The sequence below is a fragment of the Homo sapiens genome, chromosome 1 (assembly GCF_000001405.40).
Source record: "Homo sapiens chromosome 1, GRCh38.p14 Primary Assembly".
Classification (NCBI taxonomy): Eukaryota; Metazoa; Chordata; class Mammalia; order Primates; family Hominidae; genus Homo; species Homo sapiens.
The window spans coordinates 33,578,382-33,593,377 of record NC_000001.11 but is presented as its reverse complement, the minus strand read 5'-3'; the positions used below and the strand labels follow the sequence as shown (position 1 = coordinate 33,593,377).

The 14,996-nt window shown below is 43.8% G+C and overlaps 1 protein-coding gene across 11 annotated transcripts in view; it reads left to right on the top strand.

The window, feature by feature from the left end:
• The window catches only part of CSMD2 (CUB and Sushi multiple domains 2), a 651,845-nt gene that overhangs the window by 572,465 nt on the left and 64,384 nt on the right, over positions 1-14,996 (top strand). For 10 of the 11 annotated variants that reach the window (XM_047443685.1, XM_047443656.1, NM_052896.5 and 7 more), the window contains 4 exons: positions 6,210-6,290; positions 6,761-6,874; positions 9,548-9,736; positions 12,479-12,625. In XM_047443685.1, the coding sequence (XP_047299641.1) occupies positions 6,210-6,290; positions 6,761-6,874; positions 9,548-9,736; positions 12,479-12,625 (531 nt within the window). Of the gene's footprint in view, positions 1-888; positions 1,597-6,209; positions 6,291-6,760; positions 6,875-9,547; positions 9,737-12,478; positions 12,626-14,996 lie in introns of those variants that run through there. The other variant, XM_017000193.2, reaches the window with a different exon arrangement.

Sequence of the window (14,996 nt, the reverse complement as noted above, 5' to 3'; positions counted from 1 at the left end):
GTTTGTTTTTATCAGCAGCATGAAAATGGACTAATATATTTAGATTAACCTAAATAACATTCAACTATATTTTCTATACCAGGAACATAACTAAGACAATGTGACACAGTTTAAAGATAAAAGGGTGGCCAGAGATTATATTGGGCAAACATAAACAACAACAGTAACAATCAAAGAAAAATGCAGAATTCATAATGTCTTCAAGGTTCCATGTTATAGCATGTGTCAGAGTTTCCTTCCTTTTTAAGGCTGAATAACATTCCACACATGTGGTATATATTTATTAATAACGTTAGTACAGACCACATTTTGTTTATCTGTTCATCCCTCTATGGACATTTGTGTGGCTTCTACCTTTTAGCTTTTGTGAATAATGCTGCTAAGATCATGAGTGTACACATATGTCATGATAATTTTTTTTTTTTTTTTGAGACAGAGTCTTGCTCTGTTGCCCAGGCTGGAGTGCAGTGGCGTGATCTTGGTTCACTGCAAGCTCCGCCTCCCAGGTTGGCACCATTCTCCTGCCTCAGCCTCCCGAGTAGCTGGGACTACAGGCACCCACCACCTCGCCCAGCTAATTTTTTGTACATTCAGTAGAGACGGGGTTTCACCGTGTTAGCCAGGATGGTCTCGATATCCTGACCTTGTGATCCGCCCACCTCGGCCTCCAAAACTGCTGGGATTATAGGTGTGAGCCACCGCGCCCGGCCGTCATGATAATTTTTAAAGTGATTATCCAATTAGGAAGGTTGCAGAAAGATGCCCACTTAGTGATAGGTAGTTTGAGAATTGCAGATCCAAAACCTTAACACAATATGATTAGCTACACATTCCAATCACTTTGTGGTGCCTGTGCCACTCATAATGTTCTCTTTAACTGCTCCTCAGGGCACTTGGCAGCTGTTTGTACATTGTGACACCCCTCCACGCACACATCTGCCCCCCAGCCACAGAAGCTTGGACCAGAGGTGGACACCTGAGCTGACTGCAGCAGGGGCAATCAGATGTTCTCTCTTGGGAAGTTGAAATAGGACCCAAGAGATTCTACTTTTGCCTGGACCCATCTCCTGAAAAGATAAAAATCCAAGTGCAATGGATTGCTGCTCTTCTACTTTCCATGTGGACCAAAAAGTAGAACAATCCTATGTGCAGAAAGAGAATGATTGAGAAGTGGAAAAATTTCCTTGGTTTCTGATGGCCCTTCAGTTCCTCGTCCTCTACCTTTGTGAAGTCTGGCTGCAAACCCACCCTTGGGTTCTCTCTTCTCTGAGAGGCTTTTTTGCTTATTCTAGCCTGAATTGATTTATTTACATCCAAAGGTTCCCAAGGAATACAACAACCTAGGACCCAGCAATCCTACTTCTGGGAATTATGCAAAGATATGTGCATGAAGATATTGCTTGATATGTTATAACAGGGAAATTAGAAATAATCTAAATGTAAAAATAGTAAGAGATTAGGTATTATAAATTTAAAGTGTATACTCAGAGAGAGAGAGATAGGGAAAGATACAGTCATTACAAATCATTCATGTATGAACCTGGGCAACATAGTGAGACTCTGCCTCTACCAAAAAAAAAAAAAAATTAGCTGGGTGTGGTGGTGCATGCCTGTAGTCCCAGATACTCAGAAGGTTAATGTGGGAGGATCAGTTGAGCCCAAGAGTTTGAGGTTACAGTGAGAGCTATGATTGTGGTACTGCACTCCAGCCTGGGTGACAGAATGAGAACCTGTCTCTAAAAAGAAAATAAAAAGAATCACTCATGTAGAATACAATTCACTGATTTAGGAAAATGTTTATTTTATATTGTTCAGTGCAAAAAAAGCAGGTGATTTTAAAAACTCAGGTGATGGTATCACAAGAAAATGCAGTGATTATGGACTCCCACCCTAGACCACACTCACCACTCCTTGTGATGTTCTGAAAAAGAGATACAGACAAGAAACAAAGGCAAAGGAAGGCATTTCAATATTAGCTGGGCATGGACCCCAGATTCAAAAGCAGAGCCTGAGTCCTTTGGTAAGCTCAAATGAACCATGTGAGCTCACATTTTTTTCTAAGCTAATTTGGTTTTAAAGGCTGCAAATGAGGCCGAGCATGGTGGCTCACGCCTATAATCCCAGCACTTTGGGAGGCCAAGGTGGGCGGATCACCTGAGGTTGGCAGTTCTAGACCAGCCTGACCAACATGGAGAAACCCCGTCTCTATTAAAAATACAAAATTAGCCAGACGTGGTGGCGCATGCCTGTAATCCCAGCTACTCGGGAGGGTGAGGCAGGAGAATCACTTGAAACCAGGAGGTGGAGGTTGCCATGAGCCGAGATCGCACCATTGTGATCCAGCCTGGGCAACAAGAGCAAAACTCCATCTCAAAAAAAAAAAAAAAAAAAAAAAAGATAAATAAAAGCTTCAAATGAAAGGCCAATTCAGCACACCCAGCAGCTTGAGGAATAACATTCCCAGGAAGACGACAGGGACCATTGCTCACAATGGCTGCTGCTGAGCCAACTGCTGCTTAACATTAATAAAGCAATTGCCCCCACCGTTCACGAGTTAACATGTTCACACACACCAGAATCTGGCTATGCTCTCTCAACACCTCACCCTCTTCCCCTCAGGGGAAGAAGAAGGGTATTCACAAAATGAAATGGAAGAGTCTGCCTTGAATGTCCCCTGCCCTAGAGTTCTGTAGCAATAACATGGTGGATACAGTGGGATACCATCAATGTGGTAAGAGTATATGTGTGTGTGTGTGTGTGTGTGTGTGTGTGTGTGTGTGTGATGGGAAATAGGGAGGGCGTGTCTGTAAAAGACCCAAGATCCTACAGCAAAATCTTCACAATGCTTATGCCTAGATGGTGAGATTTGGGAAATTTTTGTTTTGTTGCTTTTTAGTATCCCATGAGCTTCCCGCATTAAACAGAAATTTGTAATTTTATGGCCAGGCACAGTGACTCACACCTGTAATCCCAGCACTTTGGGAGGTCAAGGTGGGAGGATCACTTGAGCCCAGGAGTTTGAGACCAGCCTGAGCAATATCTTGAAACCCGATCTCTACAAAAAAAAAAAAAAAAAAAAAAAATTTTAATTAGCCAGGTGTGGTGGCATGAGTCTGTAGTCCCAGCTACTTGGGAGGCAGAGGTGAGAGGATAGCTTAAGCCCAGGAGGTCAAGGCTGCAGTGAACCATGATTGTGCCACTGTACTCCAGTCTGGGTGACAGAGCAAGACCCTGAAAAAAAAAAAACCTAGTTTTAAAATGTAATGGAAAATCACCCCAATCAAAACAGTAATCACAAAATATAAAGTACCCAGGCTGTATTTAAGTGGGGATTTGTTTTTATTCATTTTTTTTTCCTGGAAAAGTTTAGTATGCCTTAGAAGTTTTGAAGATAAGTATGACACTGAGAATGGAAGGCACCAATTTTTTTAACTTATTAAGAAAAATTATAATTGGCTACATAAAAACTTAATACTTCTACAAATCAAAAGTGCCATAAATAAAACTAAGCAAATGATAAACTGGGAAAATATAATTAACGGCTAAGGTCAACCTTGAATATTCAGAGTTCTTCAAATTTATAAGAAAAATAGGGGCAAAGAAAGTCTTTCATAGCTAGACCTTCTTTCTGCCTAGAGTTTTATAATGTGTCAAGCTGCGGGGTTTCACCGTGCACTGGATGTGGATGGTACAGTATGCAATGCACAGAGGCACTGTTTTGTCACGCCATATTGTTGGGTGATCATGAAGTGATGTTTTAAGTATTTAAACTTCTAACATATTGGTTCATCACAACTCTTTTAATAGACAGTTAAAAAGAGAAATGCAAATAGGCCATTAACGTGAAAAATGCTTAGCCTAATTAGTTATCAAATGCCAATTAAAATAAAATAAATGCTGCTTTTTTGTTTAGCAAGTTAACAAAGATTAAAACAGACGACTATCTCTCCCAGTGGGGCCTAAGTTCTGTGAGGGCAAGGGATGTATTTGTTTTGGTTGTTCTTGTAACCTCATCACCTGACACAGTGCCTGACCCAGGGTGAGCCCTCCATAGACAATCATTACATGAACTGGGTGAAAGAAGAATGATGGCACCCAGTGCTGGAGGAACAGTCACTCTGTTGACAGTATCAATGGGAACCATTTTCCTGGAGGGCAAAGTGGAAGCATGCAGCAAGTGTGGACGTGGCCTTCCCAGGCTTATGTTAAATCAAAGGTAAACCCACTTGGTTACCTCAAGAGTGCCTCTTAGTTTTAACACCCACATTTCATAGAGCTTACGTATCTCTCAGTACGATACATTTCAGCGAGTGCGTCTATAGAAAACATTTACAGTTAGATCCCCCAAAACATAGTACACCATTTTCAATAAATCTATATGCAGGGAAAGTCTCAAGCTGCATTCCAACTACAGTTGGTAAAATGTCAGAATCCCATGCGGACTTTTGGAAAGGGGCTCCAATTCCATGGCGGGGATGTGTGTCTCAGAGGCTGCTGGCTCTGAGGTGTCACTCCATGCTGTTCATTGTAAACTGTACTCTACCACCTAGTGCCAGTCCTGAATGCATTCCCACTGAGTCTTTCATAGCTAGACCTTCTTTCTGCCTAGAGTTTTATAATGTCTCAAGCTGCAAGATTTCATGGCGCACTGGATGTGGATGGTACAGTATGCAATGCACAGAGGCGCTGTTTTGTCACACCATGTTGTTGGGTGATCGTGATGTTTTAAGTATTTAACTTCTCTAACATAATGGTTTGTTGCATATATTTAGGTATTTTATTTTGTCTTAATTACTTTTTGGATTTTGGGTTGAAGTACAACACAGTATAATTTTTTCCCACTTAAAATAATGGGATATAGGCTCCTAGTTAATATCTTTACACAGAACATTTGATTTCCAGGAAAGGATTACTGACATTCAGCAGGAGATATCTGTACTTTCAAAAGGGTCATGTACTTGAATCTTCCTAGTTAAAAAAGAAAAAGAAAAAAACGTAAAAGATGCATATATAAAAAAAGATTTCATTGCAGCTTTATTTTAAATTGCAAAACTTTGGAAACCTAAATGGTTAACAGAGTATCTGTTAAATACATTCTAGTAAATCTGTATGATTAAATCCTATGAAGTTATTTCAATCATATTTTCTAAGAAATGTAATTATATGGGAAATTCTTGCAATATAATAATAAGTGTGCAAGGATCAACACAAGCTATATAACATATAATGCAAGTTGTATAAAACAAAAATATTTATATTTGCAGAGAATAAACACTCCAGGAACGTACTGTAATTGGTTAACAGTCGTTATCTCTGAGAGGGCAATGGATAAGTTTGATTTCTTCCTACTGTTCCATAGAATACCTCAAATTTTCTTTAATGATAATGTACTATATTTGTATTTATTAAAGAACACTTTTTTAATATAGCAAGGATTGGGGTGATTGGAAATAGTAACGATAACAGCAGCAGTGGCAGCAGGAGCAGCTAACACTTGTATAGCACTTGACTCTGTGTTAGTAATAAAAGCCAGGTTATGAGCCCACACTGAACTTAGCCTCAGTAAATAGCATCCTGCCTCTAGCATCATCCAGTCTCTGCCCATAGGGATGAATTCCAGCCTAGAAAATTTGTGAATCCAGAAGTATCTGGTCAAAGATCAGAAGGGTCAGCTTGTCAGCTGACTTCAGTAGGTACTCGCAAAAGCCACATGCAGCATGTAGATGCTCAGTGGTGGGAAGAATACAGGGTTTGGGAACAGCCAGACCTGCATTCAAATCCTACCTGTGCCACCTAATTCCTGTGTGACCTTGAGGAACTTACTTCACCTTTCTGAATCTCACTTGCTCACGAGTAGAGTAAGAGCACCTCACAGCATGGTCAGATGTTGTGAGGGTTAGAGTGGCAGCCTATAAAACGCCTAATATCCACGAGGCACTCAGAAAACGCTCCTCTCCCACCCTTCAGTGCTGGTGATGGTGTCACTGACTCCTTAGATTGCCCCTCTTTTGTTATTATTAATTTCAATAAGGATGACAGAAGATAAGCAAAAAGGACTTGGCTAAACTTGCCCTGTTTACAGATAAGTACTCATGAATATCTGTGTGTGAATAAATGAGGGATGAGAAAGTGAAGAATTGAACAAATGAATGACGGTGTACCTGGAGAATGATGATCTTACCCTGACTTGCCTGCTTTTATCTTTTCAGCTTATCCACTCACCAAATGCCCTCCTCCCACCATCCTCCCCAACGCCGAAGTCGTCACAGAGAATGAAGAATTCAATATAGGTACCACCTCCCAAGCCAGCAAGGACTGTGAACCCAGGACTGGGGAAGGAAGGGAAGGTGGCGGGGGGAGCTGTCGGGCCAGTGGACCTTATCCCCTGCTCCTGTCTGTGGAGAGAGAAACAGTAGGCCCTGTGCCAGAGGGTTCTGCCCACTGAGTTTACACCCAAAATAAAATCAAAAGGGGAGGCAGAAAAATAGTTTTCTTTTTTTGGTTCAAGTCAGCATCTTTTTGAGAAATAAATCCATGCAAGACAGTATAAAATGTCCTGGAATATGAAACATTCTGAGGCTCACACAAGGCTGAGTTGTGAGAGGGGAGCAGTCGTCTGGGCCATTTGATGGGAGCTGAGCTAGTTATTTAAGTCTGAACAGAACATGACCCGCCTCTGATTATCTCACCTGGAAGTGGGTTCAAGGTACTAATGACTGGACTTCTTAAGAGGGTCTACATGTTGGTCTTTCTTTGACAGGTGACATCGTACGCTACAGATGCCTCCCTGGCTTTACCTTAGTGGGGAATGAAATTCTGACCTGCAAACTTGGAACCTACCTGCAGTTTGAAGGACCACCCCCGATATGTGAAGGTAATTGCATGGAGCCGCATCTGTATGGGGCCTAGAAGTTCCTCCTGAACAAAGCTCTTGTTTTGCTCCTCTTTCTATTCCCAGTTCTCAGCTCAGTCACTGCCCCATAACATGAAAGGTCACTTGGTAAATGTTGTCTGATGGATGAGTAAGTGCATGAGGAATGAGTGAGTGATCACTCTAGATAGGTTCTCTGCCCTGTTCTGATATCTGAACCTGTGAATTGGCCACAGTGGCCACATTTATTTTCATCTGCCTTTTTTTCATTCCTGGGAATTTCTTGGAATTGCATACTGAGTACTGGAAGGAGGAAGTCCCTCCCTGGTGTGGGCGTGGGCTCACACACCATCCCTGCTTTACTGATGCGCGGATGCACTCAAGGTGCTGTGTGCCAAACCAGGCAACTGAGAGACCACAGCAGTCTTTATTCCAGTGTACCATGCCTTGACAGAAATGAATTCGCTTCAGCGAGTCACCCCAATTAAGATCAAAAAATAGTCTCCACTCATCAGGCATCTGACCTAAGGCAAGGTACCTGATTGTCCTGCCCTCAGCCTTCCCTTCTATAAACTGAGGATAATGATAGTACTTATGCCATGGCGGTATTAAATGGGTTAATAACATAAACCAGTTTAGAATGATGCCTGGCATGCAGTAATTGCTCCATATTTGTGTTAATATTATCATTAGTGCGACTACTGTTTCTAGAACTACTGCTACCTGCAAATATTCAGTAGCCTATGGGGAAACAGGTCAGCCTTTCCCCCACTTCTGGGAAAGCAAGAGTAGGAAGAACCTGCAATATGGACTGTCAGTAAGGAATAGCAGACCTGGTAGAGGCAGGAGAGGACCACGAGGCCTGAGAGAACTTAAGTATCACCACATCTCAGTGCCCTGTGCTGGTCATCGGATTAGTGAAATCAGGAACATGTCAAAGCTAAGCGAGTTTCCTCTTAGAAGACATTAGTTTTCCTTCTCCTCTTAAAATTAAAAAGGAAGCTCTATTGGGAAAAGTCAGTGAGTACCTTTCAAAGCTACTCAGGCAGAATCCTGGATGCGTCCTGTGAAATTCTGGGCCACAGCAAGACTCTAGGAGCCCAGCCCCCGTGCTGATTACCAAGCCCCACTTCTCTGAAGGCAGAGGTGAGATGGGTGAACAGCCCATGGCAAAGTCTTGTACCCAAAATAGCATTACCTGAAATTGTAATCCTGGGATTAATTTTTGGTCTTGCAGTTCCCGTTCCAGAACCTCCCTTTTAGCAGTGTCCCAGAATCCAGCAGACCCAGGAAGCCTGTCTAAAGGCACATCTACTGCAAAACACTGATTTCTCCGTGTGCAGTGATAAGAATACTTACAACTATTGTCAATGCACACCTTTGTACTGAAAGAACAATGTACTGAAGAAGTTGATTTAGTCCTCAGAACTTTGCTTTGGCGTCCGCAACCCAAACAAATGGAGGTGGATGGTCCTGAAATTGCTTTCATGCTGTGATGCTTGCCTGTGCCCCAGGACACAGCATCTCCTCAGTGCTGGGGAAGGGCCTCTCTGAACCAGCAGCTTCCCTCCCACTCATGGTGATGACGAAATAACGAATCCTGCTCCTCCAGCTCCTCCTTTTCTAAGTTCCAAGCTCAATGTCTTCCTTAGAATGACATTTTTTTCTTTAGCTATATAAATAGTACTAATTAAGCCACAGCCAAGTTCTGAGACCTTTCTGTTCAAGATGCAGTTTTCATCATTCCCTCTACAATTTATTGAAGCACTATGTTGCATGCTTTACATATATTATTTCATAATATATATATATACATATATGTATATAGATATATTTTTTTTGAGATGGAGTCTCACTCTGTCGCCAGGCTGGAGGGCAGTGGTGCAATCTCAGCTCACTGCAACCTCCGCCTCCTGGGAAGCAATTCTCCTGCCTCAGCCTCCTGAGTAGCTGGGACTACAGGCACATGCCACCACACCCAGCTAATTTTTGTATTTTTAGTAGAAATGGGGCTTCACCATGTTGGCCAGGATGGTCTTGAGTTCTTGACCTCATGATTCACCCGCCCCGGCCTCCCACAGCGCTGGGATTACAGGCATGAGCCTCCGCACCCAGCATGTAATATTTTATATAATGCTCACAACAGCCCTGTAAGGTCTGTGTTATCTCTGTGTTGGAGATAGAGAAGCCATCACACAGAGAGGAGATAACTTGTTCAAGACCACACCATTAGTAAGTGGCAGAGGTGGGCTATGAATCCAGGTGTATTTGACTCAAAATCCCATGTACTTACCTCTGCCCTATACAGTACAATCTTTGTTCAAATAAAACCCATTTTATAGATTATCTCCTTTGGATCTGGGGAAGCCTTACTGTTGTCTGTATGTATGTTCCATCCTCCCCTACTCAAAGCCAGGTAGTAGAACCCACAACTTATCTAGGAAGTGATTCCAACCAACTGGCAAAGCTCAAGTCCCAGAAATACTGCAATATTGACACAGGATCTAAGCCCACCTCATGTCATGGAGCAGCACAGTGATGGATGTGGGATCTTATCTGAATGTGCTCAAATACTGATTTTCTAGGGGTTGTCTTTAGTATTGGGAAAAGCAAATGTATTGGCCGTAGTTCCATCTCCACCCCCACGTACTTGGTGTTTCTCTTTCTTTCTCCAAGTGCACTGTCCAACAAATGAGCTTCTGACAGACTCCACAGGCGTGATCCTGAGCCAGAGCTACCCTGGAAGCTATCCCCAGTTCCAGACCTGCTCTTGGCTGGTGAGAGTGGAGCCCGACTATAACATCTCCCTCACAGTGGAGTACTTCCTCAGCGAGAAGCAATATGATGAGTTTGAGATTTTTGATGGTAAGTCAGTCAAATGCCTCACAGTTCTCTGCTGCAGAAGACATGGACTTGCTCCAGAACCCGAGGAGTCTGTGCTGCAGTTTTCCTATCAGGGCTTGCCAGAAGCTCCACAGGATGTCCTTCCCTACCACAGCAACCCCAAGGCCATGGGACCTGAGGGGTGGCATGGCCCAAGCAGCAGAGCTGCTTGTACTGCAACTTGAACCTGTTACCGAACCTTTTCTTACTCTAGCTCCCACTCAAAGCCATTCCTGTTCATGTCAGCAGATAAATGGGTCAAACAGTATTCCCAAGTGAAGAGTGTGCTTCCTCCAAAACCCAGAGATCTACCAAACATTGTGCTGCCTCTTTGGCTTTAAGAGGGAAAATGTGCAATAATTTGCTCTTTAATTTGGAGGGCATGTCTCAGCATGCTTCAGACCACTGGACCCTAAAAATTCATAGCAGAACTTTGTAGGATTTACCTCTTACCCTCTGGAGCACATGCATCTTGAAAAGTCATCTTGCCAAAGCACTAATTGTCCCTTCTCACTCATCAGGTCTAATTAATATGATGTCCTCAATAGAGTGAACCAATATGTTATATTCTGCAAGATGTCCAGATGGTCCACATCCCTTTATACTCGGTTATGACAGAGAGCAGGAGAAGTAACATAGCTCTGGGGGAAACCATGAATGTATACTGTTGTCTACCTCATGTGAATGCAAAGTGCTTCTGATCCTCATTTCTGAAGGGTATGGAAAAGACTACATGGCCAGATCAACAGCTACATTCTATGTAACCAAGGCTGTGTTAATCTGTTCTAATAAAGATATGCGCCTCACACAGCTGCTACAATTGAGGCTCCTACTTTGTTAAGTGTGTACTGTGAGACGGACCTGGGCCAGGACTCCATTTATTCCCAAAACCACCCTTCATACACCACTCCTCTGGCAGAGTAGCTATGATAGTGCTTTGGACCCCCAGTCATCAGCATCAATTAACATCCTGTATCCAGAAGTCTTTGATATATCTGAACATTCCATTTTCTATAATATTCTGTTTTCTGAGTAAACAGTAGTAGGTCTTTTGGGGGAAGAACGGTAGGAACAACTACTATATACAATTATTGTCATTGTGCGGGGTCTTTTTTCATAGGGACCCAGCCTCTTGGGAAATGAAACCTGGCTCAAGTCTGCAAACTGGGCAAAGGATTGCACCTTTCTGCTGGGGGCAGCTTTTCTCATCCTGCAGTTAGCTACTAATGATCTGTTTTGTTCATATAGTTATACTTGTTTTGGCTGCTCTTCTTGGCTTCCTATTTACCTTGCCCTTAGGAACATCATGCTCTATGAGCCATCTTCGTAGATCCCGTAGGCCAGGCTCTCCCAGCTGCCATTCCAGCCTTGCTTCCCATTTTAGTAATTATGCCAACTTTGCTTCTGACTGTTAAGTAATTCCACCTGGCCTCTGTGTTCTAGGACCTTCTCATCCCCATTACTGCTAGGGAGCCCAGTGTCTCTCCCCATCAGTTTTGACCCACAGAGGATAGCCATTAGTTACTCAGGTTTTCAGCAATGCTGGTGCTCACCCGCTCCAGGAAGGCTGGAGCTCCTCACCTCCTGATTGCTTTAGTAAATGGAGTGTCCTCCAGGTCTTCCTGAGAACTATGGTCAACTTTTACACAGCAGACCTAGCCCAGCATGCCACTTCTCCCAGCCTTTCCCTTCACAGTTTGCATGGCAGTTCTGGTGACTCTACTTTGTTTAATATGATCCATTAATTTTTCCAAGCTTCTAAGAGCTGTCTCAGTGGCATAGTAGAGCCATCATTCAGGGCCTTTTCCAGAGTGATAAATCCTGTGTTATGGGTTATCCAGCTTTATATTCTGCGCCCCTTCAACCAGCCCCCTCGGGATGCAATCTCAGACATTTAAGGTAGGACAAAAGAAGAGGGAGGTCTTTCTCAAAGAGCTTTCAAAAGCAGTATTAGGGAGCTCTGTTACTTATGACCCCGAGACATGACATTTTCCTCTAGCTTTATTGCTATGTATTCATTCCATAAATATTTTTTTCTATATGGCAGGCACTGAGCTTTTTTTCTTTTCTTTTTTTTTTTTTTTTTTTTTTTTTGAGACTGAGTCTTTCTCTGTCACCCAGGCTGGAGCACAGTGGTGCGATCTTGGCTCACCACCTCCTGGGTTCAAGCGATTCTCGTGCCTTAGCCTCCCCAGTAGCTGGGACTACAGGCATGCACCACCATGACCAGATAATTTTTGTATTTTTTTTTTTTTTTTTTTTTTTTTTTAGTAAAGATGGGGTCTTGCTTGCCAAGCTGGTCTCAAACTCCTGGGCTCAAGTGATCCACCTGCCTCACCTTCCCAAAATGCTGGGATTACAGACATGAGCTTAAATACACACAAGAGAAGTAGGGTGGCCAAGTGGAAGAAGTTCCCAGTTTGAAAACCAGCTCTTCCATTAACCAGCTACTTGACCTTGTCAAGTCTCAAAATGCAAATCAATTTCATCTTACCTGCCAGCCCCTAGAGGTAGGCAGGGACTTCCTAGAGCACTGCTTTAGAGCTGGGCTTAGGAGAAAAGAGCACCTTGAGCAATGCCTGTGGATGCAGAGAGAGGAGTGCAAGTACAAATGATTTTGCTGACTCTGAACAAGTCACCCCACCCTCTGAGCCCTGAGGTCTTCCCTGGAGGCTCCCTGTGATGGCTCCCATGGTCTGTAATCCTGCGTCCTTCTCACCCCAGGTCCATCAGGACAGAGTCCTCTGCTGAAAGCCCTCAGTGGGAATTACTCAGCTCCCCTGATTGTCACCAGCTCAAGCAACTCTGTGTACCTGCGTTGGTCATCTGATCACGCCTACAATCGGAAGGGCTTCAAGATCCGCTATTCAGGTGAGTGAAAAAAACACAAATAAGCCACAGGCCCTCTCCTCATCGAAGCCTCAAGCTCCTCTGTGGAGACCGGGCGGCCATTCCCCTCCTAAATCTGCCTCACCTGAAGCTAAGTGGTCTTTGCCATTCCCCTACCTCCTATTTTTCTATTCCATTCCCCTCTTGAACCTCTTCCCTCTTTTCTCATACTGCCAGCCTTTGTCTTCAGGATAAGTTTAACAATTTTATATGATCTGATAATGCCTAACAGTGATCCTGTCCCTTTAGGAAAGTTAGGAAATGCTAATAAAAGTTTCTTAAAACTAAAAAGCCCTAAGGCATAGATCTCTGACTGGCAGATGTTAAGCATGCAGCAAAGGATGGGCTATATTTCAAGGCCAGGTGCCTTTCTTCTGCTCTGCAAGCCATATCTTATAAACAGAGTCAGATCAAAAGGCCAAAGACTGACCCAGGCAACAATCTATAAGGACTGAAAAAAATAATCCTGGGAATATAATGAGATGGAGAAAATTGAATTTATCTGATCTCTCGTCATGGGGATTACTGTCTGTGGTTGGAAGAAAACTTCACAAGGTGCTTGATGCCCACTTTGAAGAGAGGTGGGTTCAGTGAACTGCTGACTGGGCTCCGCAAGCTTGGAGGCAGAAATGAATTACTTAAGACCATGGGGGGTTCCATCACACACCAGTTCCCTTTCAGCACTCTTTCCCCTGGCTACCTTTGGCCTACATTCCAGGCAAACAATGAACAAATTTCTAAAGAATATTGGTTGGGGGCTAGGTGCAGTGGCTCACGCCTGTAATCTCAGCACTTTGGGATGCCAAGGCGGGCAGATCACCTGAGGTCAGGAGTTTGAGACCAGCCTGACCAACATAGTGAAACCCCATCTCTACTAAAAATACAAAAATTAGCCAGGCATGGTGGCATGCACCTGTAATTTCAGCTACTTGGGAGGCTGAGGCAGGAGAATCACTTGAACCTGGGAGGTGGAGGTTGCAGTGAGCCGAGATCACGCTACTGCACTCCAGCCTGGGCAACAAGAGTGAAACTCTGTCTCAAAAAAAAAAAAAATTAAAAAAAAAGAATCTTGGTTGGAAGGAATGTCAAATTCAGTGCCTGAAGTCCCACTTGCCACAGTCCATCTCTTCTCATGGGTCTCCTACTTGCAAGACCAGCCCATACTCAGTGGGTGGACAGTCTTAAAGAATCCCTGGGTGTAGCTTTCAGGGGAGAGCCAACCAGAGGAAGCTGAGGGCCCCTGGGAGAAGGTGGGTCTTGACTGTCTCAGAGCCCATATCCTCTGCAAAGTCCATCCAACCTCTCCTTTCCCTGGTGCACACGGAGAGGGGTCTGGGTGGCTGCAATGACTGAGTGCCCCAATGTCAGTGACCAGCTCTCTCACCTACTAGCTGTGGGATTATTAGGCAAGGTACTTAACCACTTCAGGCTTCAGTGTCCGCATGATGGAAAAGAAACTTTAAGGTGCCTCTTAGGGCTGAGTTCCTGGCAGCTGCTCACTCAAACAGGAAATATAGCAGTTTGGTAGCATTTCACTATGCTGGTTGCTAAATTAGGAACTGAACGTTATTAAGGAGTTACCCTTTCCTTGATGTTCTAACGTGTTTGGGGATAATGAGTCAGTTGTAATTACAATACATATGCCACGTAGAAAGTGAGTTAATTACATGGCGCAACAATTAGTACTTAATAATTCAGATCGAGTAGATGAGTGTAATTTGCACCTGCGTCTGTCACTGTGACTAAGTATATTTTACAACCGAGATTCTTGTTCCTGAGGGAGGTAACCATGTGGATACAGCACACATAGGACACAGCGGGCAAAGCAGGAGTAGGGAAACAAATTCGGCTTGGAAGGCAGCTATTTAAAACAACCATTTCACCGGCAGACGGATATGATCACCAAGAAAGAGGCCGGGGACCTCACCAGGGGTGGCTGTAAGGGCCCCACACGCGCATCCTGCCTTATCCATCTCTGCCTGGAAGACCCCACCAGGGACTCCTAGGGCAAACAAAGAGAATTATCTGCCTGCTCCTTTGGTCATCCCTCTTTCCTGGCCTCACAGAACTCCCCCTGAGGATCCCTGGCAGGCTTTATAATGTGAGTCCTTTCAGGCTGGGATTTTTTGTTTTGTTTTTTTTGTTTGCTTGTTTTTTGAGACAGAGTCTCACTCTGTCACCCACGCTGGAGTGCAATGGCATGAGCTCATCTCCCTGCAGCCTCCACCTCCTGGGTTCAAGTGATTCTCCTGCCTTAGCCTCCCGAGTAGCTGGGACTACGGGCACGCACCACCACGCCTGGCCAATTTTTATATTGTTAGTAGAGATGAGGTTTCACCATTTTGGCCAGGTT